Source organism: Homo sapiens, chromosome 22 (genome assembly GCF_000001405.40).
Source record: "Homo sapiens chromosome 22, GRCh38.p14 Primary Assembly".
Taxonomy (NCBI): Eukaryota; Metazoa; Chordata; class Mammalia; order Primates; family Hominidae; genus Homo; species Homo sapiens.
In genome coordinates, this window is record NC_000022.11 from 50,217,652 (window position 1) to 50,245,133 (window position 27,482).

The 27,482-nt window shown below is 57.0% G+C and overlaps 1 protein-coding gene across 4 annotated transcripts, besides 7 other annotated features; it reads right to left on the reverse strand.

The window, feature by feature from the left end:
• Positions 43-27,372, reverse strand: TUBGCP6 (tubulin gamma complex component 6). 4 transcript variants are annotated; one of them, NM_020461.4, is made up of 25 exons: positions 26,068-27,372; positions 22,553-22,716; positions 15,665-15,875; positions 11,753-11,926; positions 10,256-10,377; positions 9,348-9,426; positions 9,082-9,191; positions 8,636-8,727; positions 8,399-8,538; positions 8,143-8,292; positions 6,860-6,941; positions 6,681-6,769; positions 6,490-6,605; positions 4,803-4,941; positions 4,377-4,451; positions 2,600-4,223; positions 2,306-2,364; positions 1,993-2,140; positions 1,637-1,805; positions 1,417-1,558; positions 1,052-1,246; positions 837-969; positions 538-751; positions 267-466; positions 43-176 (listed from the first exon to the last, which is right to left on the reverse strand). In NM_020461.4, exons 1-25 carry the CDS (start codon positions 26,806-26,808, stop codon positions 85-87), a joined length of 5,460 nt encoding a protein of 1,819 aa, NP_065194.3. In that variant the 5' UTR covers positions 26,809-27,372; the 3' UTR covers positions 43-84. The 4 variants fall into 4 exon arrangements, 1 of the variants encoding a protein (NP_065194.3); XR_938347.3 differs by lacking the exons at positions 43-176; positions 267-466 and having other exon boundaries at positions 645-751; positions 1,059-1,246; XR_001755343.3 differs by lacking the exons at positions 43-176; positions 267-466; positions 538-751; positions 837-969; positions 1,052-1,246 and having other exon boundaries at positions 1,447-1,558; positions 2,541-4,223.
• Positions 1,944-2,586: an enhancer, noted in NCBI's record as "H3K4me1 hESC enhancer chr22:50658024-50658666 (GRCh37/hg19 assembly coordinates)". NCBI's record gives its function as "activates a minimal SCP1, AML or CMV promoter by ChIP-STARR-seq in primed H9 embryonic stem cells {active_cell/tissue: H9 hESC(primed)}" and the evidence as "EXISTENCE:reporter gene assay evidence [ECO:0000049][PMID:30033119]".
• Positions 20,855-21,356: an enhancer, noted in NCBI's record as "H3K4me1 hESC enhancer chr22:50676935-50677436 (GRCh37/hg19 assembly coordinates)". NCBI's record gives its function as "activates a minimal SCP1, AML or CMV promoter by ChIP-STARR-seq in primed H9 embryonic stem cells {active_cell/tissue: H9 hESC(primed)}" and the evidence as "EXISTENCE:reporter gene assay evidence [ECO:0000049][PMID:30033119]".
• Positions 21,357-21,856: an enhancer, noted in NCBI's record as "H3K4me1 hESC enhancer chr22:50677437-50677936 (GRCh37/hg19 assembly coordinates)". NCBI's record gives its function as "activates a minimal SCP1, AML or CMV promoter by ChIP-STARR-seq in primed H9 embryonic stem cells {active_cell/tissue: H9 hESC(primed)}" and the evidence as "EXISTENCE:reporter gene assay evidence [ECO:0000049][PMID:30033119]".
• Positions 23,754-24,053: an enhancer, noted in NCBI's record as "active region_19307". NCBI's record gives its function as "activates an Ori minimal core promoter by ATAC-STARR-seq in GM12878 lymphoblastoid cells {active_cell/tissue: GM12878}" and the evidence as "EXISTENCE:reporter gene assay evidence [ECO:0000049][PMID:35858748]".
• Positions 25,961-26,891: an enhancer, noted in NCBI's record as "H3K4me1 hESC enhancer chr22:50682041-50682971 (GRCh37/hg19 assembly coordinates)". NCBI's record gives its function as "activates a minimal SCP1, AML or CMV promoter by ChIP-STARR-seq in primed H9 embryonic stem cells {active_cell/tissue: H9 hESC(primed)}" and the evidence as "EXISTENCE:reporter gene assay evidence [ECO:0000049][PMID:30033119]".
• Positions 26,465-26,744: an enhancer, noted in NCBI's record as "active region_19308". NCBI's record gives its function as "activates an Ori minimal core promoter by ATAC-STARR-seq in GM12878 lymphoblastoid cells {active_cell/tissue: GM12878}" and the evidence as "EXISTENCE:reporter gene assay evidence [ECO:0000049][PMID:35858748]".
• Positions 27,155-27,204: an enhancer, noted in NCBI's record as "active region_19309". NCBI's record gives its function as "activates an Ori minimal core promoter by ATAC-STARR-seq in GM12878 lymphoblastoid cells {active_cell/tissue: GM12878}" and the evidence as "EXISTENCE:reporter gene assay evidence [ECO:0000049][PMID:35858748]".

The window sequence follows — 27,482 nt, forward strand, 5'->3', positions numbered from 1 at the left end:
CTGTCCTCAGCCCCCACCCAGGAGAGAGAGCTGCAGACAGGGTCCGAGAACACCTTTATTGTGCACGTCCCCCGCAGAGCAGCCTCAGGCGTCCTGGTAGTAGTTGTTGAAGTTGATGCGCAGCAGAAAGTCCTCCAGGTGGGGCTGGTAGCCGCGGTTCACCAGCTTGGTCACCACTGGGGACCAGCGAGCAGCTCAGGCTTTTGCCCACAGTGTGAGCCCCGCCCTGGCCCCCCCGCAGCCCTCCCAGCCAGGGTGGGCCTCACCTTTGAAGAGAAAGTGGGAGTAGTACTTGAAGGTGTTGTAGGACTGCTGCATGAGTGCAAAGTTGGGGTGCTCTGCACCCCGCGGGCCCCCAGGGGGCCCCCAGGCCTGGGAGATGAGCTGGCTGCGGAACTTGAGCACGAGGCTGAAGATGCTGTGGATGACGTTCATGACGGGCGCCGCCTTCTCCGTGAGCAGGCCCCTGGGGGGAAGCAGTGCTGCTGGGTGGGCTGAGCCGTGACCACAGGGACGCAGCCGCTGCCCAGGCCTCACCTGAAGACGGCCTTGTGCAGGTACTCTGCGTGCGCACGCTGGATCTCCTCCAGGTCGCCCACGGTGGCCAACCTGGCCCTGAACTCGCACCAGGTGACGTGCAGGATCTGGTTGGCGATGTAGCCCTGGATGACCTTCACGAAATGCTGCATCTCGTGCTTGAACAGCTGCAGCTGACGGAACTGCACAGAGCCGGCCATGTGGCTCAGCAGGGCTGGCGGAGGGCAGAAGGCAGAGGGCAGAGGTGAGCGCAGCCTCCAGCCAGGGGTGCGGGGCGCCGGGCTCCAGCGGGGCCTCACCTGTGCGCTTGAGGTGGAAGCAGACGTCCTTGAGCGCCCACATCATGAGCTTCAGCTGCAGCAGGAAGGAGAAGACGCCGCTGTACTTGCTCACGCAGCCCTCGGTGATGACAATGTTGAGAGGCCAGTCCACCTGCCAGGAGGCGTGGCTCAGCAGGCATCCCACAGGCAGGCAGGCCCCTGTCCCATCCCCCGCGGCCAGGGCTGCTGCTGACCTTGTACCTGAGCTCCAGGCAGCTCAGCACATCCGGGGCGTTGGGGGCAAACACCTCGGGCAGGTACTTGAGAGCGAGGGAGAGGTTGGAGGCGTGCGGGGTGTCCCCATGCAGGCTGCACTGCAGGGCCTTGCTCAGCACAGAGTTCAGCACCAGCGGGTTGAGCAGCTCTCCGGGCGTTTGCCCAGCTCCAAGCTAGGCAGAAAAGGGACCACCGTCCCCAGGAGTCCCAAGCACATGCCTGGCACTCGCCGGCACCCCATGGGGCTGTGCCAGAGCAGCAGGGGGCTGTGGGCGTGCAGCCAGTCTCTCTTTTCCCACGGCCTCCCCTCTACCACTGGCCCCACCCCGTGTCCGGAGGCCACCTTCTCAAAGAGCAGGTCGCTGAGGGACTGGGCGAACTCGCCGTCCTCCATCAGCAGGAAGTGCCGCAGTGCCTCATAGTGCGCCTCCAGGTGCAGCTCCACGAAGAAGTAGTCGACAGCGGCCTTGTTCACCAAGGAGATGCTGGCAGGAGGGAGCTGGAGTCAGGGCGGGCCAGGACGGGCTGGGTGGGCAGACTGGCGCAGGGGCAGGGGCACTCACTGGGCGGCCAGCGGTGCCGTGATGGAGCGCTTCATGAGCACGGGCAGCGTCAGCAACTCGCTCAGCTGCACAGCAGTCTCATCAGCGGCAGACTGGACCTGGGGGTCCACGGGGAAGGCGAAGGCCCGGGGAAGCACGGGGCGCAAAAGATGAGCAATGGGCGGCTCGGCTGCGGGAGATGGAGCACGCACGTGCTGGGAACCGGCCAGCCCAGGGCTCCGCCCCCATCCACAGGAGATGGAGCACGTGCTGGGAACTGGCTAGCCCAGGGCTCCGCCCCAACCCACAGGAGGTGGAGCACGTGCTGGGAACCAGCCAGCCCAGGGCTCCCTGCCAACAGCAACTGCTGCACTCACACATGGACTCGTAACTGTCCGGGTACCGCTCCAAGTGGTACTGCCCTGCCAGGCCTGCCAGGTAGGCCTGCTCCCCACCCTGAGCCTCCGCCGCCGATGCCTCCGCCTCCTCACCACGGCCTGGGCTGCTCTGGGCAGCTGTGTCTTCCTAACAAAACACCAGCCTCAGAACCACCTCCCCACTGCACGCTGTCCCCACAACCAGCTTGTGCCAAAAAAAGGAAAATCGCATGTGGGACCCACCCGCGTGACAACCTAGAGGGACAGAGCCCTCCCTGCCTGCTGTGGGACCCCCAGGCTGCATCCACCTAACCTGTGAGTTGAGAGGCCAATTTGGAGAGAGGTCCTCAGTGTCCCCGCTCCTCCCAGGGCCTGTGTGGACACAAGTGGACACGAGGGCATCAGGGCCGAGTGCCTGTGGCGGGTACAGAGCCGAGCCGGCCCTGGCTCAAGCAGCCCCTCCCATGTCCCCCACAGCAGCCCAGGTCCTGGCTGACAAGGAGGCCTGAGGGGAACTTCACATGCCACCAACCCCACTGCCCGCCTACCTCCCAGGCTCTGTGCGTCCCACAGTCCCACTCCTGACCACCAGCCACCCTACTCTGACCTAGTTCTTCAGAGACACTGTCTCCCGGGGTGTTGGGCCACCATGGTTGGGTGGGAGCCACGTCTGACACGTTCTCCCCCACGCTGATGCTCCCCTCCCCGCAGCCCGAGCTGGGGGAGGACAGAGATGGCCCCACTTCTACAGGCAGCCGTGGCCCACAGTCCAGCACAGTGCTCTGTGCTCCCAGGCTGAGCGCTGACTGGGACGTGTGGCCAGGGGGGCTCTGTTGGGGCCTGGGTGTGTTGGGCTCAGCTTCTGGTGAGAGAGCCCCCAGCACCATGTGGGGCGGAGGGATGGGTACATGGGTGTTCCACCGTGGCCGGGTGGAAACCACATCCGACACAGGCTCCCCCAAGCTGATGCTGGCGTCGGACACGTGTCCATGGGTGTTGCACCGTGACCGGATGGGAGCCACGTCCGATACGTTCTCCCCAACCCTGATGCTGGTGTCAGACACATGTCCGTGGGTGTTCCACCGTGGCCGGGTGGGAGCCATGTCTGACACAGACTCCCCCAAGCTGATGCTGGCATCAGACACGTGTCCATGGGTGTTCCACCGTGGCCGGGCGGGAGCCATGTCTGACACAGACTCCCCCAAGCTGATGCTGGCATCGGACACGTGTCCATGGGTGTTCCACCGTGGCCGGGTGGGAGCCACGTCCGACACGTTCTCCCCAACCCTGATGCTGGCGTTGGACACGTGCCCGTGGGTATTCCACCGTGGCCTGGTGGGAGCCACATCTGACACATTCTCCCCGACCCTGATGCTGGCGTTGGACACATGTCCATGGATGTTCCACCGTGGCCGAGTGGGAGCCACATCTGACACAGACTCCCCTAAGCTGATGCTGGCATTGGATACGTGTCCGTGGGTGTTCCACCGTGGCTGGGTGGGAGCCACATCTGACACATTCTCCCCGACCCTGATGCTGGCGTCAGACACGTGCCCGTGGGTGTTCCACCGTGGCCGGGTGGGAGCTATTTCAGAAGCGTAGTCCCCTGTGGGAAGACCACCCCCTGACACCTGCCCAAAGAGCCGCTCTGTGGGCTGGCTGCTCCCCTCCTCCAGAGCAGCACGCCTGGGTGGGTGTGAGGGGAGCAGAGTCTCCCGCGAGGCGGAGCCACAGGCATCCATCTTCCCACAACTGTCCTCCCACAGCTGTAGCCCTGAGCTGCCCAAGCTGCACTCTGCAGCCTGCAGGGGCCCTGGTGCAGGTGAGGTGGCCACAGCTGGCCTCAGGACAGTACTAAAGTCGTACTCCTGTGGCCTGGAGGGCTGAGTGCTGGCTGCTGCGGGTGCCTCCCCAGGAGCTGAGGGGGGCAGGTCCAAGTTAATGGTCTGCAGCGCCACCTCCAGGAGAGGGACCATGCCAGTCTGCACGGACGGCTCAGCCCCTGGGCCCACAGGTAGGAAGTCTCCAATGCTGAGGCTGTCAGAGAAGGGTCTGGCCCCCTCCGCCTGCTGCAGCCCCCTGCCACCAGCCCCCACTGCTAGAGGCTTAAGGGGCTGTGGGGTCAGCAGGCCTGGCCTGTTCCAGCCATCCCAGGCAGGCGAGTGTTGCTCTGCAGACCCAGAATCACAGCCTTGGCCTCCCTCTGGGTGCTCAGGGCCCGGAGACGTGACCTGAAACACAGGTGACATCAGACCCAGTCTGGTCTCAGGACCCCCCAGCCCTCGAACTGTCCCCCAAGTTCAGCTCTGCAGCCATGACCAACACCAGGTGCCGAGGGCTATGGGAAAACCATAGGGCACCCTGGGTTCCACTCTGCCGCTTACCTGGGGGTGCACGCTCAAGAGGACGTCTGGCGGCTCCTGGGGCTGGTGAGCCTCAGACACTGCTTTCAGCATCTCCTGAAATTCAAGCCAGAGGGGTGACTGGCCAAGCCGGAGTCAAGCACAGCCCTACCCCACACAAAGCCACAGCCCCTACCGCCCATGGCAGCCATGTGCACTGAACCAGACAAGGCTTGTGCTGGGCTCCAGTGGGACGCTGGGCCTGCAAAAAGTACTCCAAAACCACGAGCTCCTCACCACCTGTATCTGTGCAATTTGGTGGCACACGGGGAGAGAGAGTGCTCTGCCGCAAACGCGAAAGCCACCAGCCCTCTCCTAGAAGAGCATGTAGGTTTGTGTGCAGTCTCAGGGGGTTTCCAGACCCCCAAAGCCCAGGGGAAGAGCTGCCATCTGAAGCCGCAGACATACCTGAATGTGTTTCTCATCTTCTAAGAGAAAACGAAGCCGTGCACTCTCCAGTCGGTGCCTCTGGATTCTCCACAGTGCCTTCTGCTCCCGACGAGCTGCCTCTGCAGAGAGCTTGCTGTAGTGGTCGACCAGTGCCTGCCTGAAGCCACACACCAGAGAGGACACGGCCACAAGAGTCACCCCACCCCATCTACCTGGCACCCCTCAGGCCAGGATGGTTCTCCATAACAGAGGCCCCAGTGGGCCCCCGCCCCCGTCTCCCCCTACCAGGGGCTGATAGCTCTGGGCCCTCACAGCACCTACAGGGCAGCACCAGGCAGGCCCTTCTACCTGCCAGGCTGGGAGACCCTGGTGAGTCAGCGTCCAGCCAGGGCTCAGCAACATCTGCTGGACAAATACCAGAATGAGATCCTGTGTGGCCTGAAGCAAGGGGTGAGCAGGAGGCCGAGGGCCCCAGGCCTCTAAGAAGTTAGGCCTCTTCCCCTTCTACAGGTACAAACCTGAGAACTGAAAACTAATGCAAAAAAGCACATGAAGCAAAACCAACACAAACGCTTTATTTGCTGAATTCAAAGCCTGCTTCACCGATCGTGCCCCATGATTTTGAGCTTCTCACCAGCAGGCAACTGGGCTCAAACCTGGACTGGCCAGCTCTAATTTGGCTGCCACAGGCCAGAGACGTAGTGTCTAGGCCTGGTTTTCTCCATGTGTTAACAGGACAGTATCGACTGACATACATGCATGAACACGTACTCATGCATAAATGCATACACGGACACACGTGCACACAGGCACGCGCACCCCTCCACACACATCCCTCACTCGCTCCATAAAGAGATCTAAGGTTGGGACCTACAGCATCGCGTGGGGCTGAGCAGGAAGCGGCCAGCCCCTCCCGTGAGGGGCTCTCTCCAAAACCCCAAACAGCCCCTTGAAGGATCCAGCACTACTCAGCCTGGGACAGCCTGATGACAGCACAGGACAGGTTGATAACAGCACAGGGAGACAGACGCAGATGCTGTGCTGGACAAATGCCCTGTCTCAGCCGAGCGCGGTGGCTCGCGCCTGTAATCCCAGCACTTTGGGAGGCCGAGGCAGGTGGATCACCTGAGGTCAGGAGTTTGAGACCAGCCTGGCCAACATGGTTAAACCCCGTCTGTACTAAAAATACAAAAAACTAGCTGGATGTGGTGGCGGATGCCTGTAACCCCAGCTACTCAGGAGGCTGAGGCAGGAGAATTGCTTGAACCTGGGAGGCGGAGGTTACAGTGAGCCGAGATTGTGCCACTGCACTCCAGCCTGGGTGACAGAGCAAGACTCTGTTTCCAAAAAAAAAAAAAAAAAAAAAAACGCCCTGTCTCTGTCAGACCAATAACAGACTTAAAAATAAATAAGGAAGGATGTTCAGAAAGAAGATAAATAAAGAGACAGGACCCCAAACAGTACGCAGGCCTCGCCTGGACCCTAATCCATACAAACCACCACAAGACAACGCGCAGAACAGCTAAGGATGCCTGGATAAGGCAGAACGCCCACAGCCACTCTGGGTTCAGCATATTGGTCTTTCTACCTTAATGTATGTTTGAAGGTTTTCAAAACAAAAAGTAAAATCATCAGTAAGATTAAGCCAGAGCTATGGGGCCCCTGCCGCACTGCACCCCTGGGCCTGGAGCCCGGGCTGCCCTACCTCGCCTTCCTCTCCAGCTCCTCCTCCAGGGACTTCAGCCTTCTCTCCCTGTCTCGGAGTTCACGGGCGTAGCTGAAGTCATCATCCAGCTCCTCCTGCCTGGCCGCCTGGCGTCGCTATAAAACACATAGAGCCTGGCCTGTGAAATCAGAACTGACAGGCGTGACCCCGCAGGGACAGGTCCTACCCACCTCCTGGTCCTTCACAAATTGTTCTTTCAGCCTCTGAAACTGCTCACGCTTCCGGGCATCCAAGGCCATCCGTTCTGACATCTGCCGGTCTACATTGGGACAGTAAGGGGCGCACTGTCACAAGGAGGCCCCAGCAAGGCCCCCCGGAACTGCAGAAGGGAGGACTTGGGGCCACTCACCACTCAGTGCACTCAGGACCCTGGATGCTGCTTCCCGGGCATGAGCGATTAATTCTTGTTTTGCAATTTCCATACGTAATTCCTGAGAAAGACAACTGGTAATCAAAGCATCCTGGCCGGGCGCAGTGGCTCACGCCTGTAATCCTGGCACTTTGGGAGGCCGAGGTGGGTAGATCACATGAGCTTAAGAGTTCAAGACCAGCCTGGACAACATAGCAAAAACCCATCCCTACTAAAAATACAAAAATTAGCCAGGTGTAGTGGCAGGTGCCTGTAGTATCAACTATTTGGCGGGGGTCAGGGGAGCTTAGGCAGGAGGATCCCTTGAGCCTGGGAGGTGGAGGCTGCAGTGAGCCATGTTCGAGCCGCTGCACTCCAGCCTCCTGGCTGACACAGTGAGACCCTGTCTCAAAGAAAAAAAAAGCAACCTAATCCTCTGACCCCTCACCTAGGATGCCCAGGACACCTGTGGACTCAGGGCCGGCAGGGGAGACACATGGTCCAAGGGTTCGAGGAGGGACCAGGTGATGGCAGGACACCGCCCCCCCGCCCACCCTCCCCCACCCCCAGGCTCTCAGCAGTGGCAAGGCTGGTTCCAGGCCATGGACGGGAGCTGACCGGCTCTCACAGAGACATCTGGGGCTGAGGACCCCAAGGCTGTGTGTGCCCACCCTGGAAGGAAACCAAGAGGCCTCAAGAGGGGGCTTCCCCGCTCAGCCTCTTAGGCCTGCCCCTGCCCAAGTATCCCTGCTGCCCACCAGGCACCAGGCCAGAAAGGGTGTTCCTGGGAATGGCACTGATTGTACCACCGAGCCCCTCCCAGAAGACACAGGAGAGGCGTGGCCCGTCCCTGACACACTGTCCCTTCCCAGCAGGAAGGGGGCTTGCAAAGGGCGAAGGCCATCTGGAGTGCAGCCAGGACTGTCTGTCCACAGCTGGCGGGCCCGGGGAGGCCCCAACGGAGTTTCCCACGCCAGCAAAGCCTGGGCTTCAGGCTGAGCCACCCAGACCCAGGAGGAGAAGTCAGAGCCCCTGCCTGGCATCTGGCTCCGGACATTCATCTCAGCTCCCCCTTGGCACCCACCCTTCATCTCAACTCCCCGTTGACACCCACCCTTCATCTCAACTCCCCCTTGGCACCCACCCAGGCCACCGCCAGGACAGAAAATGCCAGAAGGGAGGCCCCCATCTTGCACAGCCCTCATGTCCGCCCCACCAACCTGAGACCCCAGGAAGCAGAGGCAGGGGCGAAGAAAGCCCCCGAGACCTGTGGTGCCACGCACCTTCTCCTCCTTGCTGACAGAGCTGTGGCGGGCCACCCTCTCCATGCGCCCAACGTAGACGGCACAGTCCTTCTCAATCTCCTTCAACTCCTCAAGGGAGAAAATCACCGAGATCCGGGGGACAGGGACGTCGGACCAACAGAGGTAATGCTGCCAAAGGGGATGCAAGCACAGCCACCAGCACTCAGCCCCAGCCTCATACTCAGCCCCAGGGAAGACCGGCCCCTCTCTTCCCCACACATGAGCCCCTCCTCACCCGGGGGCAGCAGAGCTTCAGCAGGTTAATGGTCTTTCCGCAGACGTATATGTCGTGGGCAATGTGCTTCAGAAACACGGGAACACAGTCCTCCACCTCTTTGGAGATGAGCACGTAGCCATGTGTCCAGTACAACTTATCTAAGGTAGGGTGAACACCACGGTGGCCGGCATGGCCATGGCCCTGAACCCAGGCCCACAGGCACGGACCCCTGCCCCGCAATCAGCTGCCACCTACCTCGGAAGCTGAGGTACTCGTGGTTCACCTGAATCATGAACTCGCCATAAGCGTCTCTGAACACCCCGCTGTACACCCAGTCGTGGATGAACCTGCAGTGGGGGAAAAGCAGGGGTAGATGTGGTCAACGGAGAGGTGGGTGGGGCGTGGCTGTCAGTGAGGGGTGGGACAGGGGCGTGGCTGTCAGTGAGGGGCAAGTGGGGGCGTAGCTGTGAGAGGTGGAGTGGGGTGTGGCCATCCATGAGGGGCGGGATGGAGTGGGGGCAGGGTGGGGGGTGTGGAGTGGGGGCAGGGTGGGGGGTTGGGGGCTCCTGCCCAGTCCACCTATCCTGCCCTCCCCTTCCTGTGTGACCCCCACATTCAGCAGGTGTCTGACAAGGGACCGCTCTCAAGTGTCTGCCTGGTGGGAGTGCGCGCCCGCCGCGCCTGCCCAGCCCACTGCCCACCGGGTGTAGGGCTCGCAGCTGGTCTTCAGCAGGGACAGCAGTACAGGGTAGTGCTCGTTGCTGCAGTTGTGCAGAGCCTCCTGGTAGAGGTAGGACAGCAGCTTCACGCCCTGCAGACCGCAAAGGGGGTGGGGGGCAGCTCAGCGCACCCAGCGCTGGGAGTGAGGCGCAGCCCTGCCGGCAGCAGCCCTCCAGGGACACGCTCAGCCACCCCCGTTTCCTGGAGCCCACCAGGCTGACACACTCGGCAGGGACGCACAACTCACGGTGGGAAACGCGGCCCTGGGGCCTCCTCCACAGGTGCCCGGGAGCACAGCGCCAACGCCACAGAGCTCGGCCAGGTACCTAGACCCAGAGGCAGGATGAGACCAGGTGACCGGGCTCAGGGTTCCCAGGCCTGGATCAGATCGTGAGCAAAGTCTCCACGTATCTTTATGCTCCCTGGGGCAACTAACTTTAGATGCAGGCTTTAAAAACCACAGGCACCCCAACCACCCAGAAACGGGCTCCCTGCAGGACTCGTGTGCAGCCCTGTGCCCCTGCGCTGTCCACACACACCCCACTGAAGTACCCACACCCAGCAGGCCCTCCCTCCCAGGATCTGGCCAACACACGAATCACCCTGATCCTCCCACTTCTGGGGGCTGCACCTGAGAGCCCCTCCCATCCACACAGTGGTACCAAGCATCTGCCACAACTCGCACCCTTCACAGCCCAGCTCCCCTGCCCCACAGTGTCTCAGCCCTTGGGTCTCCTCAGCGCTGCCACACTCTGCTCCTCAGCCTGGAAGGTCGCCTCTCCCACTGCTCCCAATGCCCAGCTCCTCACTCTTCCTTCTCTGATGGCACCTGCCAATAGCCCCCGAGCCTGGTTGCTCACTAACCAGCTTGTGTGTACCGGACGCCACATCTCCAGGGACCCTGTGTGCCAATTAGGCAGGAGCCACCGGACCTGGAGGGCCTGGATGGGGCCAGCTGTGGTGGGCCCACGGCAGACACACCCGCTCAGCACCGGGCACCTGGTGAACTCGGCCGGCCAAGGGCCATCCGGTCGCCTGCTGAGGGCTGTTCTCACAGGCCCTCCTTGCCAGGGAGCAGGGCAAACCCTCCACCACCCAGCAAGCCCCACACCGCTCCCGCAAAGTCCCCTGCTCAGCCGCCATGCTGAGGCTCACCTGAGCTGCCGGCCAAGTTTCTTGAAGAGAAAACCAATGGTGAGGAGGCTCAGGGTGGGCGGAGTGGAAAGGACGCAGGCCCGGTAATACTGCAGGTACCTCCTCAGGCCACTGGTGAAGGCCTGTGGGCAAAGAGGCTGGGAGGAGGGCGGCCAGGCACATGGACGCAGCCGTGCCCAGGGCCTGAGGGGCACCAGTGCTGGGAACAGCGCTTTGTTTCTTGCCTCAGCTCTGGGCTCCATTTCCAAGCAATGGGCCTCTGTGAGCCACACCCCGCCACCGGGCCAGGTGGAAATGCGGCCCATCCACAAGAAGCCAGAAGCTGTGGCCCACCACCAACCCTTCCTCTCATCTGAGCCCAGCTGCCCCAGGGGCGCCCACCACCAACCCTTCCTCTCATCTGAGCCCAGCTGCCCCAGGGGCGCCCACCACCAACCCTTCCTCTCATCTGAGCCCAGCTGCCCCAGGGGCATGGCAAAGGGGCTGGGGGGGAAATGGCGGCCGTGCTCTGTGCACAGACACTAGTGCTGTGAGGGCTGCAGCTGCTCCGACCACAGCTGTCTCAGTGGCACCAGCATCCTGGGCAACGCCACAGCAGCAGGCCCTGCAGGTCACACTAAGACAGGGGCACCCTGGACCAATCTCAGTCCACCCACCCCAGGAGCCGCCTGGCTATGCCTGCCAGATGAACAAGAACCACAGTCCAGCCCTTCTCAGCGTCCCCTGCTCTGACCCCTTCTCCACCATCTCTAGCTCTCAAGTCCCCCGGGGCTGAGCCTCTGCCTAGAAGCTCTCCCCGCCCCGTGCAGCTCCCACCATGCCCACCTCCACAGCCCATCTAAAACCTACACCTCACCACATCACCCCACCCGACAGCCCCTGCTGCAGCAGCAACAGTCAAAGGAGGCTGCGCTGCCTGGCTCCTCCAGGGCTCTCTGCCCACCTTCCCCAACACCCTCCTCTCAATCCCCCAAACCCAAATGCCCCATCATCCACCTGCCTATTCTCTCCCACTCAAGGTGCAGCCCCTGTCCCATGGGCCTCTTCCCAGCACATGAGCCAGCTTCAAGACTCACCAAACAGCAGCTTCCGGAGCCAGACTTGGCTCAGAACTCCCAGCAATGTAAATTCACCCAACAGGAGGGCCCTGCGCTGTCAGTCATCCACAATGTGCCGGGCCCACTGGGGAGCAGGCAGCAAGAGCCCCACTCACGCCTTTCCTGCCCTGCGCACCCCTTATGCTGGCTGCACCTGCCTCCTACACACCCCAGGGCCCACACAGCCCAGGGCCCACACACATCTGCCCCAAGTTTCTAGTGAGGTAAAACATCCTCACTGACCCATCCCTCAAGAGCCACTATCGGGTTTCAGATGTTAGCAAGGAAAGAAAAGGTTTAGACTCTCTGGTCCTGCAGAAGGACCTCTGAGATTCTCTCTTCCAGGTCGTGTGCACCGTTCTCACAAAGGTGTGTGACAACCATGAGGCAAAGGCCATACCTGGAACACGAGGCCCTTGCTGTACAAAGAGTCCAGGACGGGCTGCAGAGAGAAATGACTCAGGCGCGTGTAGCAGGTCCCATACTCGGCCACTTCCGAGAGCAGGCTGCTGATGCTCTCGGGAGACGCTCCTGACACGTGGACGCCCCGCTTCACCACAAAGGCCTGGGCCGGCTGCACAGGGGCAGAGGACACTGGTCACAGAGGCCAGGCACCCAGACCCCCAGTAAGGTGCCGTCTCCCTCCACCCTTGCACCCAACCCCACGCCACCTAGAGTGCCTCCAGGACCCAAAAGCAAATGCCCAGAAGGCATACCCAGAACTCCCACACCGAGGGACCAAACCGAGGCACAAATCCTCACTGACCACACTGAAAAATACATGTTTAAAATGCCAAGTGTAGAAAAGGGTAGAAAAAAACAGAACACCTTCCACAGGACACAAGTACACAGACAGCCTCCTGGGGCAGAAGCTATAAAACATGACGGCCGTGAGACCCGCTCATTTGACTCTTCGGGATGAATTAGAGAAATGATGGAAGATGCACAAAGACTCGCCACAGGACATTCTCCACAGTATGTTTATAACCAGAGAGTGGAGACCCCCAATAGAGGGCTCATGACAACCAAAACGAATGGGGTGTAGCAGAAGCCAGAAGGGAGGTTACAGCCGCAAATACCCACGTTAGAAAGGAAAAAAAATATCCCGCAATACAAAGGAACAAGATACCAAACCACAACAGCACCGTGTATACCCTAAAGAGATATTTTAAAAAGAGCTGTTAGGCCAAGCACAGTGGCTCACACCTATAATCCCAGAACTTTGGGAGGCTGAGGCAGGAGGATCACTTGAGCCCAGAAGTCTGAGACCAGCCTGGGCAACATAGCAAGACCCCCATCTCTAAAAAAATTTTAAAAGTTAGGCCAGGCATGGTGGCTCACGCCTGTAATCCCAGCACTTCAGGAGGCCAAGGCAGGTGGATCACTTCAGGTCAGGAGTTCATGACAAGCCTGGCCAACATGGCAAAGCCCCGTCTCTACTAAAAATACAAAAATTAGCCAGGCATGGTGGCGTGCACCTGTAGTCCCAGCTACGCAGGAGGCTGAGGCAGGAGAATTGTTGAATACGGGAGGCAGAGGTTGCAGTGAGCTGAGATCACGCCTTTGCACTCCAGCCTGGGAGACAGAGCAAGACTCCGTCTCAAAAAAAAAAAAAAATTAAAAATTAGCCAGCCGTGGTGGTGCATGCCTGTTGGTCCCAGCTACTCGGGAGGCTGAGGCAGGAGGATCAATTTGAGCCTAGGAAGTTGAGGCTGCAGTGAGTCATGTTTGAGCCATTGCACTCCAGCCTGGGTGATCCTGTCTCCAAAAAAAAAAAAAAAGAAAGAAAAGAAAAACAGGCTGGACGCAGTGGCTCACATCTGTAATCCCAGCACTTTGGGAGGCCGAAGCAAGCGGATCACTTGAGGTCAGGGGTTTGAGACCAGCCTCACCAACATGGTGAAAACCCATCTCTAATAAAAACAAAAATTAGCTGGGCGAGGTAGTGCACGCCTATAATCCCAGCTACTCAGGAGGCTGAGGCAGGAGAATTGCTTAAACCCAGGAGGAAGAGGTTGCAGTGAGCTGAGATCACGCCATTGCACTCCAGCCTGGGCAACAGAGCGAGACTCTATCTCAAAAAAAAAAAAAAAAAAAAAAAAGCAGTTAAACCCAAAACTAGCAGAAGGAAACAAAAAATAATTAGAGCAGAAATAAATACAGAGTAGGCCAAGCACAGTGGCTCACACCTGTAACACCAACACTTTGGGAGGCCAAGGTGGGTGAAATCACTTGAGGTCAGGAGTTTGAGACCAGCCTGGTCAACATGGTGAAACCCCATCTCTACTAAAAATACAAAAATTAGCCAGGCGTGGTAGTCCATGCCTGTAGTCCCAGCTACTTGGGAGGCTGAGGCAGGAGAATCGCTTGAACCCAGGAGGCGGAGGCTGCAGTGAGCTGAGATCACACCACTGCACTCCAGCCTGGGCGACAGAGTGAGAATCCGTCTCAAAAAGAAAAAAAAAATACAAAATAGAAAAACAATAGAGAGAACCAAACAAAAAGCTGGCTCTTTGAAAAGATCAACAAAATTGACAAGTCTTAGCTAGAATAATTAAGAAAAAAGATGACTAGGGCCAGGCACGATGGCTCACGCCTGTAATCCCAGCACTTTGGGAGGCCGAGACGGGCGGATCACAATGTCAGGAGATCAAGACCATCCTGGCTAACATGGTGAAACCCCGTCTCTACTAAAAATACAAAAAATTAGACGGGCGCGGTGGCGGGTGCCTGTAGTCCCAGCTACTCAGGGAGGCTGAGGCAGGAGAATGGTGTGAACCCGGGAGGCGGAGCTTGGAGTGAGCCGAGATCGCGCCACTGCCCTCCAGCCTGGGCCACAGAGCGAGACTCCGTCTCAAAAAAAAAAAAAAAGAAAAGATGACTATGAAAACAAGAGAAAAAAATCAAGTTACTAAAATCAGAAATGAAAAGTAGGGGCCGGGCGTGGCGGCTCACACTTGCAATCCCAGGACTTTGGGAGGCTGAGGCAGGCAGATCACTTGAGCCCAGGAGTTCAACACCAGCCTGGGCAACACGGCAAGACCCCATCTCTTCAGGCATTTTAAAAATTAGCTGGGTGGGCCGGGCGTGGTGGCTCATGCCTGTAATCCTAGCACTTTGGGAGGCTGAGGTGGGCAAATCACCTCAGGTCAGGAGTCAAGAGACCAGCCTGAGCAACATGGTGAAACCCCGTCTCTACTAAAAATACAAAAATTAGCCAGCCGTAGTGACATGCACCTGTAATCCCAGCTACTCGGGAGGCTGAGGCAGGAGAATTGCTTGAACCCGGGAGGCAGAGTTTGCAGTGAGCCGAGACCGTGCCATTACACTCCAGAATGGGCAACAGAGCGAGACTCTGTCTCAAAAAAAAAAAAGAAAAAGAAAAAGAAAAAGAAAAGAAAAAAATGAGCTGAGTGTGGTGGCACGTGCCTGTAGTCCCAGCTACATGGAGGCTAAGGTGGGAGGATTGAGATTCAGCCCAGGAGGTCGAGGCTACTGTGAGCTGTGATGGTGCCACTGCACTCCAGCCTGGGCAAGAGAGAGACCCTGTCTCAAAAAAAAAAAAGAGAGTCAGGGTTGGTTCCACACAATAAGGCTATCCCCACAACAGACAAGATGAGCTGTGAGCACGGTGTTGAGAACAGGCGCCCTCAGCGCCGGCAGCAGCTGGAGCTTGCTGGTGAGCACTTTTCTGGGGCAGTCACTGGCTGTGCTTCTAGTCCATTCTGAAGTCTAAGAATGGCCACCATAAAAGAACATTTAAGACAAAGGAAGGGGATGAGCACTTAAATGAAAAAGCTGCAGAGCAAGACTTCATTTTTCTGAATATATCCATTCACTTCTCCAGTGCCCAGCAAGAGGGCTGGCTAAACTGCAGCTGGTGCCAGAACCAGTAAGGCCCGGCCCCATCCCGGATGACACCGCATCCAGTGAGAAGAGCAGCGCAGGCCCCAGTCTCGGGACGCTCTCGGCAGGCAGATGCTCCTCCCGAGCGGTGGGAAGGCTCGGAAGGCGCCTGGCACTTCAGGACGGAAATGGAAATGCGGGGAGGAACATTTTCTATCGCTTTGCTGACAGCAATAAACATGTTATTTCTCTGCAGTTTTTTAAAAGGACATTAATAAATTAACACTTTTTAGAACCGAAATGGGATGATGCTGGCTGTCATCACTGGTGGCCCTGGGAGCTGGCCTTCCCTGCCACTCCCCACTCCCTGCACTGGGGCTTGTTCTGCCCCATAAAGGGCTGGGCACTGCGTGGTGGAGGGCAGGCCAGCCCCACACCACTGTGGCGGGGAGTGAGCAGTTCTCACCTGGCAGAGCGAAAACGTGGCAGACACGACCCCAATCAAGACGTTCAGCACGTCTTTCACCAGCTCGCACTCCTTCACCAGCACGGGCTGCGGGGCCTGTAGGACGCCCCCAGCAAGCAGCTGGAGCTCCCCTTGGTGGAGCCTGCAGAACTTGTCGAAAGCGTCCCTTCCCGCCTCCGTCAGGTAAGGCTCCTCTCTGTGGCCAGGGGGGCTGCGAGGGGTGCAGAAGAGAGGCCATGAGCAGACGTGGTGACCTGCACCTCAGCACCAGGGTGCTTTCTCTCGGGAATGGGCATGAACAGAAGAATGGAAGTGATTCAAAACAATAAACTCTAAGAAACATAGCCAGGTATGAATGTCAGCTCACCACCCAGCCTTTTGTGGATGCTGCTGCTGTGAATACCAGCACGATCGATTCTATCAGGACAACTCATGTGGAAAGTGTTCCAGGGCACCTTCCTGGGGTCCTGGGCATGGCCGGGGGTATCCGACTGGCCCAGCCCTGGAAGAGCACCCCAGGCCACGCCAGTGGCCCTCAAGATGGTGATTCACTCATAAAGTATTCTTCTGTTAGAAACAAAACAAGATTTGTACACCCATGTACACAACAGCATCTACACCCTGTCCATGGCAGCATCCACACCCAGGTCCATGGCAGCATCCACATCCCTGTTCATGGCAGCATCATCCACACCCCTGTCCACAGCAGCATCCACATCCAGGTCCACTGCAGCATCATCCACACCCCCTGTCCATGGCAGCATCATCCATACCCCATCCATGGCAGCATCCACACCCCCTGTCCACAGCATCATCATCCACACCCCTATCCACAGCAGCATCACCCACACCCATCCACGGCAGCATCATCCACACGCCCGTCCACAGCAGCATCTACACCCAGGTCCACAGCAGCATCATCCACACCCTCTGTCCACGGAAGCATCACCCACACCCCTGTCCATGGCAGCATCACCCACACCCACCCATGGCAGCATCATCCACACCCCTGTCCACAGCAGCATCCACACCCCTGTCCACAGCAGCATCCACACCCAGGTCCACGGCAGCATCATCCACACCCCTGTCCACAGCAGCATCCACACCCAAGTCCACGGCAGCATCATCCACATCCAGGTCCACAGCAGCATCGCCCACACCCCCGTCCACAGCAGCAGCATCCACACCCCTGTCCACAGCAGCATCCACACCCAGTTCCACAGCAGCATCATCCACACCCAGGTCCACGGCAGCATCGCCCACACCCCCGTCCACGGCAGCATCATCCACACCCCTATCCACAGCAGCATCATCCACACCCCCTGTGCACGGCAGCATCACCCACACCCCCGTCCACAGCAGCATCTACACCCAGGTCCACAGCAGCATCATCCACACCCCCTGTCCACGGCAGCATCACCCACACCCACCCATGGTACCAGCACCCACACCCCCGTCCACAGCAGCATCCACATCCAGGTCCACAGCAGCATCATCCACACCCCCTGTCCACGACAGCATCACCCACACCCCTGTCCCTGGCAGCATCACCCACACACACCCATGGCAGCATCATCCACACCCCTGTCCACAGCAGCATCCACACCCAGGTCCACGGCAGCATCGCCCACACTCCCGTCCATGGCAGCATCCACACCCAGGTCCACCGCAGCATCATCCACACCCCTATCCACGGCAGCATCCACCCCCTGTCCACGGCAGCATCAGCCACACCCCTGTCCACAGCAGTATCCACACCCCTGTCCATGGGAACATCATCCACAACCCTATCCACTGCAGCATCATCCACACCCGTGTCCATGGCAGCATCCACACCCCAGTCCATGGCAGCATCTACACCCCTATTCACGGCAGCATCATCCACATCCCTGTCCACGGCAGCATCATCCACACTCCTGTCCATGGCAGCATCCACATCCCTGTCCACGGCAACATCCACATGCCTATCCACATGCCTGTCCACGGCAACATCCACATGCCTGTCCACAGCAGCATCCACACCCCCGTCCACGGCAACAACATCCACAACAGCCAGGGGGAGAGGAGCCTGAGCCCCCAACAGAGGAGGATAAACACAGACCGTCCGTGCAGACCCCTGCCCATCATTCAGCCTTAAAAAGGAAGGCAGCTCAGACACGTGCTCCAGAAGGCACGGCACTCAAGGACGCCGTGTGGAGTGCAATGAGCCATCACAAAACACTGTCTCCACAGGGACGGCGCTCGAGGACGCCAAGTGGAGTAAAATGAGCCATCACAAAACACTGTGCAACTCCACTTACATGAGGTCCCTACAGTGGCCAAAATCCTAGAGACAGAAAGTGGAGGCCAGGTGCGGTGGCTCATGCCTATAATCCCAACACTTTGGGAGGCCAAGAAAGGCAGATCACGAGGTCAGGAGTTCAAGACCAGCCTGGCCAACATGGTGAAACCCTGACTCTACTAAAAACACAAAAATTAGCTGGGCGTGGTGGCGGGCATCTGTAATCCCAGCTGCTCAGGAGGCTAAGGCAGGAGAATGGCTTGAACCCGGGAGGTGGAGGTTGCAGTGAGCCAAGATCGTGCCACTGCACTCCAGCTTGAGCAACAGAGCAAGACTCCATCTCGGAAAAAAAAAAAAAAAAAGTGGAGTGAATGGGGAGCTGTTTAATGGGTTCAGAGTTTCCTGCAGACTTGCTGTGCAGCAGTGAAAATACACACAGCATTACAAAGCTGTACAACTGGTTAAGACGGTAAAAACATTATATAAATTTTACTGCCCCACCTCAGAAAAACCGTAAGAGATGGATACAGAAAAAAAAATTCACAATTTTTTTTTTTGAGACGGAGTCTCGCTCTGTCACCCAGGCTGGAGTGCAGTGGCACGATCTTGGCCCATTGCAACCTCTGCCTGCTGGGTTCACACCATTCTCCTGCCTCAGCCTCCCGAGTAGCTGGGACTACAGGCACGGGCCACCATGCCTGGCTAATTTTTTGTATTTTTAGCAGAGATGGGGTTTCACCGTGTTAGCCAGGATGGTCTCGATCTCTTGACCTCGTGATCCGCCCACCTCAGCCTCCCAAAGTGCTGGGATTACAGGCGTGAGCCACTGCACCTGGCTAAGTTCACAAATTTTTAAGACAGTAACAGGTAAGGTGGGCTGGTACAGGCAGCCCTGGGCACATGCAACTCTGAGGAAATTTGCCTTCTGCTGGTGCTGAGGCTGTGAAACCACATGTACTGGCACTACACACACTCACACCCCCGTCCTCCCTGCGAAAACAATCAGCTCCAAGAAACACACTTTTACTGGCCACCTCTGCTATGAAGAGGGTGGGCTGGAGGGGGCAGGAGGAAGGAGACCAGCCCTGAGATGTCCAGTCAGCAGGTGGGGCCGCTCTGGACCCCAGACGCCTGCCCAGGCTCCCTCAGGATGAGATGAGCATGAGAAAGACACAGCCTCTCAGAGCCTCTGTCTGCCCCCTGCATTTCTTCCTGCAGATGGCCTCGGCAGGGGTGCAGGCTGTGGGCACAACCCTGTTTCCCCCTGCAGCCACTTCCACCCCATCTCCTCCAGGACTGGCCCCCAGCACTGCCATGGCTGCACACCCCTCTTGGTGACTCAGAACTGAGGGAAAAAAAGCCCACAGCGGAAACACAAAGACACAGCGCAGGATCCTGCAGGCTCTGGAGTGAACACCCCCCGCCCCAACAGGTCCCCAGAGAGAACACAACCCAAAATGTAGCAAAATGCTTCCCCCAGATGGGTGGCACATGCAGAGAAAGAGACCATTCCAGGGTCTGAAAGGCCTCCCTCCGCCTTAACCCAGCCCTTGCAGCTCAGCAGCAGGGAGGGCCGTGAGCAGTCGGACAATGGTGGTTCTCAGGGTGGGCAACAGCAGGGGCGAGTGGCCCCCCGTGGGGTCTTGGGACCTGTGGGAAAGCAGGGTTGATGTCTTGGAGAGTGGAGAAGGCTCAATTTCTGGCTAGGCGGCAGTTTCTTTAGCCACCTGCTGGTCAGAGCTCATCACAGCAGGAAACTAGCAGGTGGCTGGGATTTAAAATGAAACAAGACCAAACGATTTGCCAAAGGAACTTGAACCACAGCATCAGGCTGACCCGACTGCAGTGTCAGGGGCCGTGGGATCAGGGAGTAGAGGGGCCCAGGAGACGTAAACTCAGGTCCAGCCACTGTGTGGCCCTGTGCAGGTCAGCCACTGGACACTGAGATGACCACAGCACTTTCACTCTGCAGGGCCCTGGGCAGAGAAAGTCCCTACAGGAGCTGCCCAGGCTGTGCTCAGCACACTGCCAGGCACACAGCAGCACCTCCCTATAGGAACCACCGCCAGGCCCCACCGTGCCGGAGCTCCGCAGCCTAGGAACCACCGCCGGGCCCCACCGTGCGGGAGCTCCGCAGTCTCCAGCGTATTCAGAACAGGGTGATGAGGAGAGTGAGTGACCATGTCTCCTCATCAGCAACCCGAAAAAATGAACCTAGAAAAGGGGGAGTTAATAAATGAAATACAGCCAGCACGGTGGCTCATGCCTGTAATCCCAGCACTTTGGGAGGCCGAGGCGGGTGGATCACCTGACGGTGGGAGTTCAAGACCAGCCTGACCAACATGGAGAAACACCATCTCTACTAAAAACACAAAATTAGCCAGGCGTGGTGTCCCATGCCTGTAATCCCACTGTAATCCCAGCTACTTGGGAAGCTGAGGCAGGAGAATCGCTTGAACCCAGGAGGCAGAGGTTGCAGTGAGCCAAGATTGCGCCATTGCACTCCAGCCTGGGCAACAAGGACAAAGAAAGAAAAAGAAAAGAGAGAGAGAGAGAGAGAGACAGACAGACAGACTTATGAGGGAGAGTTTGGGGGACCTAGTTTGTTTAGGATGAAAGGAGTTGCCTAATTATGGTGAGCTGAAGAATGTTCCAGGTGAAGGGAACCTGGTGTTGGAAGGTTCTGAGTTTTTACAAAAATTAGCTGGGCATGGTGGCAGGTGCCTGTAATCCCAGCTACTCAGGAGGCTGAGACAGGGAGAATTACTTGAACCCGGGAGGCGGAGGTTGCAGTGAGCTGGAGATGGTGCCACTGCACTCCAGCCTGGGCAACAGAACAAGACTCCGCCTCAATAAATAAATAAATACAAAAAAAAAACAGAAAAAAATACTATTAGCAGACATGTACAGAATAAAGCAATAACTTGTAGGGCCAGTTTTTTTTTTTGTTTTTTTTTTTGAGACGGAGTCTCGCTCTGTCACCCAGGCTGGAGTGCAGTGGCGCAATATCCGCTCACTGCAAACTCCGCCTCCCGGGTTCACGCCATTCTCCTGCCTCAGCCTCCCCAGTAGCTGGGACCACAGGCACCCGCCACCACGCCTGGCTAATTTTTTGTATTTTTAGTAGAGACGGGGTTTCACTGTGTTAGCCAGGATGGTCTCGATCTCCTGACCTCGTGATCCACCCGCCTCAGCCTCCCAAAGGCCAGTTTTTAAACGTGTGAGGGATTGGCAGAGAGCAGGACCATGAGATTTGCTTTGACTGATGCACCAGCAGGAAGTGACACAGCAGGAAGGCCCTGGCAGTCAGGATAAAGCCACCACCACCGTGCTGGGAAGCAGGGAGACAGCCAACCCTGAGGGAATCTTCATGATGTCAGGAAAGCTCGCCCACCCGGGGGCACATGCTCCTGTCCAGGCTGCCAGAGCCCAGCCACTGCATCCCAGAGCACTCAGCTCCCAGCCAGCCCTGACCCTTTCACCCAACACTCCCCAAACCGATACCCACAGGATCACCAGTGGACTGGATGTGAACGGGGCATTCCATGGCCAAACATTTGGGGAAGTGCGTGTTTTTTTGTTTGTTTGTTTTTTGTTTTTGAGACAATCTCACTCTGTCACCCAGGCTGGAGTGCAGTGGTGCAATCTCGGCTCACTGCAAACTCCACCTCCCAGGTTCAAGTGATTCTTGTGCCTCAACCTCCTGAGTAGCTGGGATTATAAGCGAGCACCACCACGCCCAGCTAATTTTTGTATTTTTAGTAGAGACGGGGTTTCACCATGTTGCCCAGGCCAGTCTCAAAATCCTGACTTCAAGTGATCTGCCCGCCTCAGCCTCCCAAAGTGCTGGGATTACAGATGTGAGCCACCGCGCCCAGGCGAAATGCATATTCTCTGCCTGGGTTCTGGGAGTTATCAAAAGATACCACCACATTAAAGACTCTGAGAGGTGCTGAGTGCAGAGGCCTCTGGACCCAGGTGAGCCAGGGAGTGAGTGGCTACCGCATCCAGAGAGCAAGCTGCTGGTACCAGTCAGGAAAAAGCTGCTGCAGCTGGAGCTTCTCATCACCCAGACTGCCCCTCCCAACTCCTCCAGACACGGACGGAAAAGGTTCCGTGTTCATCAGCACCCCAATTCCTCTAGACATGAATGGAAAAGGCTCCTTCATCAGCACCCCATGCCCAGTGAGCATTTCTTCCTGGCACTAATCACACAGCCTGCCAGGCAGCTCTCTTGCTCTTAAGGACATAACTTAGCTGCCCCAACTGCTCTGCCTGGCAGGTGTGATCTGGTTACTGGCACGGGGAGGGGAGCTCTGCCCGACAGGTGTGATCTGGTTACTGGCACAGGGAGGGGAGTTCTGCCCGACAGGTGTGATCTGGTTACTGGATGGGGAGGTGAGGCCTCCTTAAAGGCTGTTAGTGCTTTCCCCTCTGCATCTCTCTTAACTCCCAGGACTCAGTCAATTTTGGACACTAGCTTAGGTTACTAACCCATCACAACTGCCTGGACCCCTGAGTACACAACGCCCCCCACACACCCCATCCAAGGCCACGCTCATGCAGGGGTAGGGGCACTGCATGCCAAGGCAAAGAAGGGCACACACCAGCCAACTCGCTCCCAGCACCTCCGCTTGCTGGCCTCATAGGTAAGTGCGGCTTCCCACAGGTCCACGTCTGGGGTCACGCTGGGCTCAGACTGGGAATCAGGAGTCAAGTTGGACGCTGACTGGAATCCTTCGTCTTCCCACTGATCCACACTCGGTGGGACCTGGAGACACAGGGAAGGGCAAACCGCCACTTATTGCTGTGTCCACGTTTCATCCAAGGGCGATGAGAATTTCAGGAACTTTATGCAAAGACCTAACAAAATGTTTCTTCTGTTTTTCTCAAGCGCATGTGTACCATACAATGTTTCCCACCAATGAGCCATTTAAGGAATTAAACAAAATAAGTCGTCAAGGCTGCCAATTTCCAATTCCATGTAACACATAAGCCTCAGTGGAACTTAGAGTGAAACTTTTTGAGATGCCTCAGACCTGGAAATTCCAATGTGGGGAACCCAGAATTAAAAAAATCACACTCAACATTAAAACACTACTGTACACCGGGGCCAGGCGCAGTGGCTCACGCCTGTAATCCCAGCACTATGGGAGGCTGAGGCAGGTGGATCACCTGAGGTCAGGAGTTTGAGACCAGCCTGGCCAGCATGTGAAACCCCGTCTCTACTAAAAATATAAAAATCGGCCAGGCGTGGTGGTGGGCACCTGTGGTCCCAGCTACTCGGGAGGCTGAGGCAGAAGAATTGCTTGAACCCGGGAAGCGGAGGTTGCAGTGAGCCGAGATTGCGCCACCACACTCCAGTCTGGGCGACAGAGCAAGACTGTGGGCAGCAAGCCACCCAGGTGCCGAGGCAAGAGACCGAGGGCACGAGCTGTTCTAGTACAATAAAATATATAGAACAAGAATAGTTACACTATAGATCATAAATATGATTATATATGAACGTTATTAATCATTAGTTTGTAGCAATTGCTCTTTATTCCAAGATTATAATAATCTTCGCTCTACAATTGTAACTTACGAGAAACCAGGCCATACAGAGACAGGAGCTGAAGGGGCAAGGTGAGAAGTGACCAGAAGACAAGAGTGTGAGCCTTCTGTCATGCCCAGACAGGGCCACTAGAGGGCTCCTTAGTCTAGTGGTAATGGCAGCACCTGGGAAGACGCCCATTACCTAGCGGACCTTGGTCTAGCGGTAGCGTCAGTGCCTAGGAAAAGCACCCACTACTTAGCAGACCAGGAAAGGGAGTCTCCCTTTCCCTGGGGGAGTTAGAGAAGACTCTGCTCCACCACCTCTTGTGGAGGGCCTGACATGACTCAGGCCCACCCGCAGTTATCCAGAGGCCTAAACGTCTCCCTGTGATGCTGTGCTTCAGCAGTCACACTCCTAGTCCACTTTCATGTTCCATCCTGTACACCTGGCTCTGCCTTCTAGATAGCAGTAGCAAATTAGTGAAAGTACTAAAAGTCTCTGAAATGCAGAAATAATGGTGTAAGCTGTCTCCTCTCTCTCTGCTTCGGCTGCCAAACAGGGAAGGGCCCCCTGTCCAGTTGACACGTGACCCACGTGACCTTACCTATCATTGGAGATGACTCACACTCCTTACCCTGCCCCTTTTGCCTTGTATCCAATAAATAACAGCGCAGCCTGGCATTTGGGGCCACTACTGGTCTCCACGTGTTGGTGGTAGTGATCCCCCGGGCCCAGCTGTTTTTTCTTCTATCTCTGTCTTGTGTCTTTATTTCTACCATCTCTGGTCTCCGCATATGGAGAGAAAAACCCACAGACCCTGTAGGGCTGGTCCCTACACAAGACTCCATCTCAAAAAAAAAAAAAAAAAAAAAAAAAAGAACAATCAGGCCGGGCTCACGCCTGTAATCCCAGCACTTTGGGAGGCCGAGGCGGGCAGATCACGAGGTGAGGAGATAGAGACCATCCTGGCTAACACGGTGAAACCCCGTCTCTACTAAATATACAAAAAATTCGCAGGGCGTGGTGGCAGGCACCTGTAGTCCCAGCTACTCAGGAGGCTGAGGCGGGAGAATGGCGTGAACCTGGGAGGCAGAGCTTGCAGTGAGCCAAGATTGTGCCACCGCACTCGAGCCTGGGCGACAGAGCGAGACTGTGTCAAAAAAAAAAATCAAATAAAATAAAAAAATAAAAATACAAACATATAAAATACAAAAATTAGCTGTGTGTGGTGACGCACACCTGTAGTCCCAGATACTTAGGAGGCTGAGGCAGGAGAATCGCTTGAACCCAGGAGATGGAGGTTGCAGTGAGCCGAGACCACACCACTGCACTCCAGCCTGGGCGACAGAGCAAGACTTGTCTCAAAAACAAAAAACAAAACTGCTGTACACCAAGACATTTGCTGTAGCATTATGTATGTTTCTAAATCATCTAGCTATCGCATAAGAATAGAACGACTAGTAACAATGTATCCTTTTGGCAACACTGATAAAGCAATAAAATACAAAACTCAAATGAGGAGCTACAGCGTACCATGGTAAAGCCTCAGGCGACAGACAGCAAAAACATATCCAATTGCACGAATTACAGAACATGAACACTTTTGCCACACGTGGCTACTGAGCACTTGAAATGTGGCTTGTGGGGCTGAGGAACTGAGTATTTTATTTTGTTTTAATTAACTTCAATTTAAACGGCAGCTCTAGAAGGCAGAGGTGGCTTAACGATATACCCCATTAGGTAAAGATGAAAAGCAGCATGTTGCTTTGGCCGGCAGGTGGGCAGCACTGTCGCTGCAGAGGAGGGTGGCCGCCAGTAAGCCCACTCCAGCAGCCCCACCTCAGGACAATGCAGCCACCAGACTATCCCCCCTTTTACCATGATAAAAGGAAGGTCACCGGGCCGGGCACAGTGGCTCATGCCTGTAATCCCAGCACTTTGGGAGGCCGAGACGGGTGGATCATTTGAGGTCAGGAGTTGGAGACCAGCCTGGCCAACATGGTGAAACCCCGCCTCTACTAAAAATACAAAAATTAGTTGGGCATGGTGGCTCACGCCTGTAATCCCAGCACTTTGGGAGGCCGAGGCAGGCGGATCAAGAGGTCAGGAGTTCAAGACCAGCCTAGCCAGCATGGTGAAACCCCATCTCTACTAAAAATACAAAACTTAGCTGGGCGTGGTGGCATGCACCTAAATCCCAGCTACAGCTACTCGGGAGGCTGAGGTAGGAGAATCACTTGACCCCGGGAGGCGGCGGTTACAGTGAGCCGAGATCGCGCCACGGCACTCCAGCCTGGGCAACAGAGCAAGACTCCATCTCAAAAAAAAAAAAAAATTAAGCCGGGCGTGGTGGCAGGTGCCTGTAATTTCAGCTACTCGGGAGGCTGAGGTACGAGAATTGCTTGAGCCCAGAAAGTGGAGGTTAAGGTGAGCCAAGATCGCGCCACTGCACTCCAGCCTGGGTGACAGAGTGAGACACTGTCTCAAAAAAAAAAAAAAAAAGAAGAAGAAGAAGAAGAAGAAAGGTCACAGGAAGCATTTTCCAAACCCCGAGAGAGATGAAAGAGGAAAAACTAAACATTCTACCTTAATAGCCAGCCCAGAGAGGTCCGCATTGTCTGGCACGGGGGGCAGGCCCAGTCGGACGTCCATGTCATAAGTGCGGCTGTGCACAAGGGCCCCGAAGAGCGAGACCCGGGTGTCTCTCTCGAACCTGTCACCACAAGGGTCACCAAATGAGAAGAGCCCGACGGTGGGCAGGCCAGTGCCTGGAGCAGCCTCCATAACCTGAAGTGTTTCCTGGATCATGCTGTGACACAAACACTCTTCTCTGGAGATCAGAGACTGAACGTCCATCTCAAACACACTCAGGTCGTCGCAATCATAGCCGCTGTACGGAACGTTTCTCCCCACATGCTTGTTGTTAAGGAAGTAGTCTCGTTTTCTCGGCAGAACTTGAGGGGGACCACTCCCTGCCAGCTGAACCAGGAGGTCCAAAACAGACCCCACCTCCAAAAGCGGACAGCAAGGGGCTGCTTCCAGCTCCTCCACAAGCTCCTCCAAACGGTCGGCCTTGGGGCCCAGGCCACCCACTCTCAAGTCAAAGGACAACATGAGGATCTTGTTTCTCGCTGGTAGTTTTGACATGTCAGGCTGCAGCTGTTGAGTCTCATCTTGAAAAAGATTTGTGAAAAGAGCATTGTAGGCCACCTTCTTGAGGCTCCGCTTTGCCCTCTTCCGGTTCACACTGCGCTGGCCCAGGTGAGTCTTGGCAGCCGGCAGGAGGGCCTCACACAGGTCGTCGAACAGCTGCGTGATGCTGGCCATGCCCCTTCTCAGCTCCGGGCCCCCGGCGTGTGGGAAAACACCTCACCCGGGCTTCACTCACGCTCCGGAAGACAGGGAGTGAGAGAGGGTCCGAAGAGGCTGAATGACAGGCGGCCTCTCCAATGCCGAAGCTCAGAACTGGTATTTTTTAAAGGAGGTCTTGCGGTTGCTCTACTCAGAGTAAACACGCCCTGCCCTCCCCAGTCCAAGCACGCTGCCCGGCGCCCGGCAGCCCACCAGAAGCCAGCTCGGCGTTTCTTCTAATTCAGTAGCCCTCAACCTTTAGGGAGTCACAGAACCGTGGCAAAACCGAAGAACGAAACGCGCGCCCGCGCAGTACAGCGGACGAACTCGGCTTTGCACCCGTTCTTCGGGACCCACGAGAGGAGACGGCCAGGAGAGGGTGCCACTCCGAGGGTCGTGGGCAGCGGAGAGTCTGGGGGCTCAGCCGGGTGGGTCCCGGGTTCTGGCCTGCACGTCCACCCGTTCTCCAGGCCTCACCCGTGGAAAGTGCCCACGGCTGCCGCTCTCGCCGCCTCCGTCGCGTCACAGCCGCGCCAGTGTGAAGAGCACTAGGGCGGGCGCGCCGGAAATACGTCACGGGAACGCCGGCAGCGCGTGAAGTTGGTGAGGCCTGGGCCGCGGCATACTTCCGGCCTGAGTCCGGCACCGCG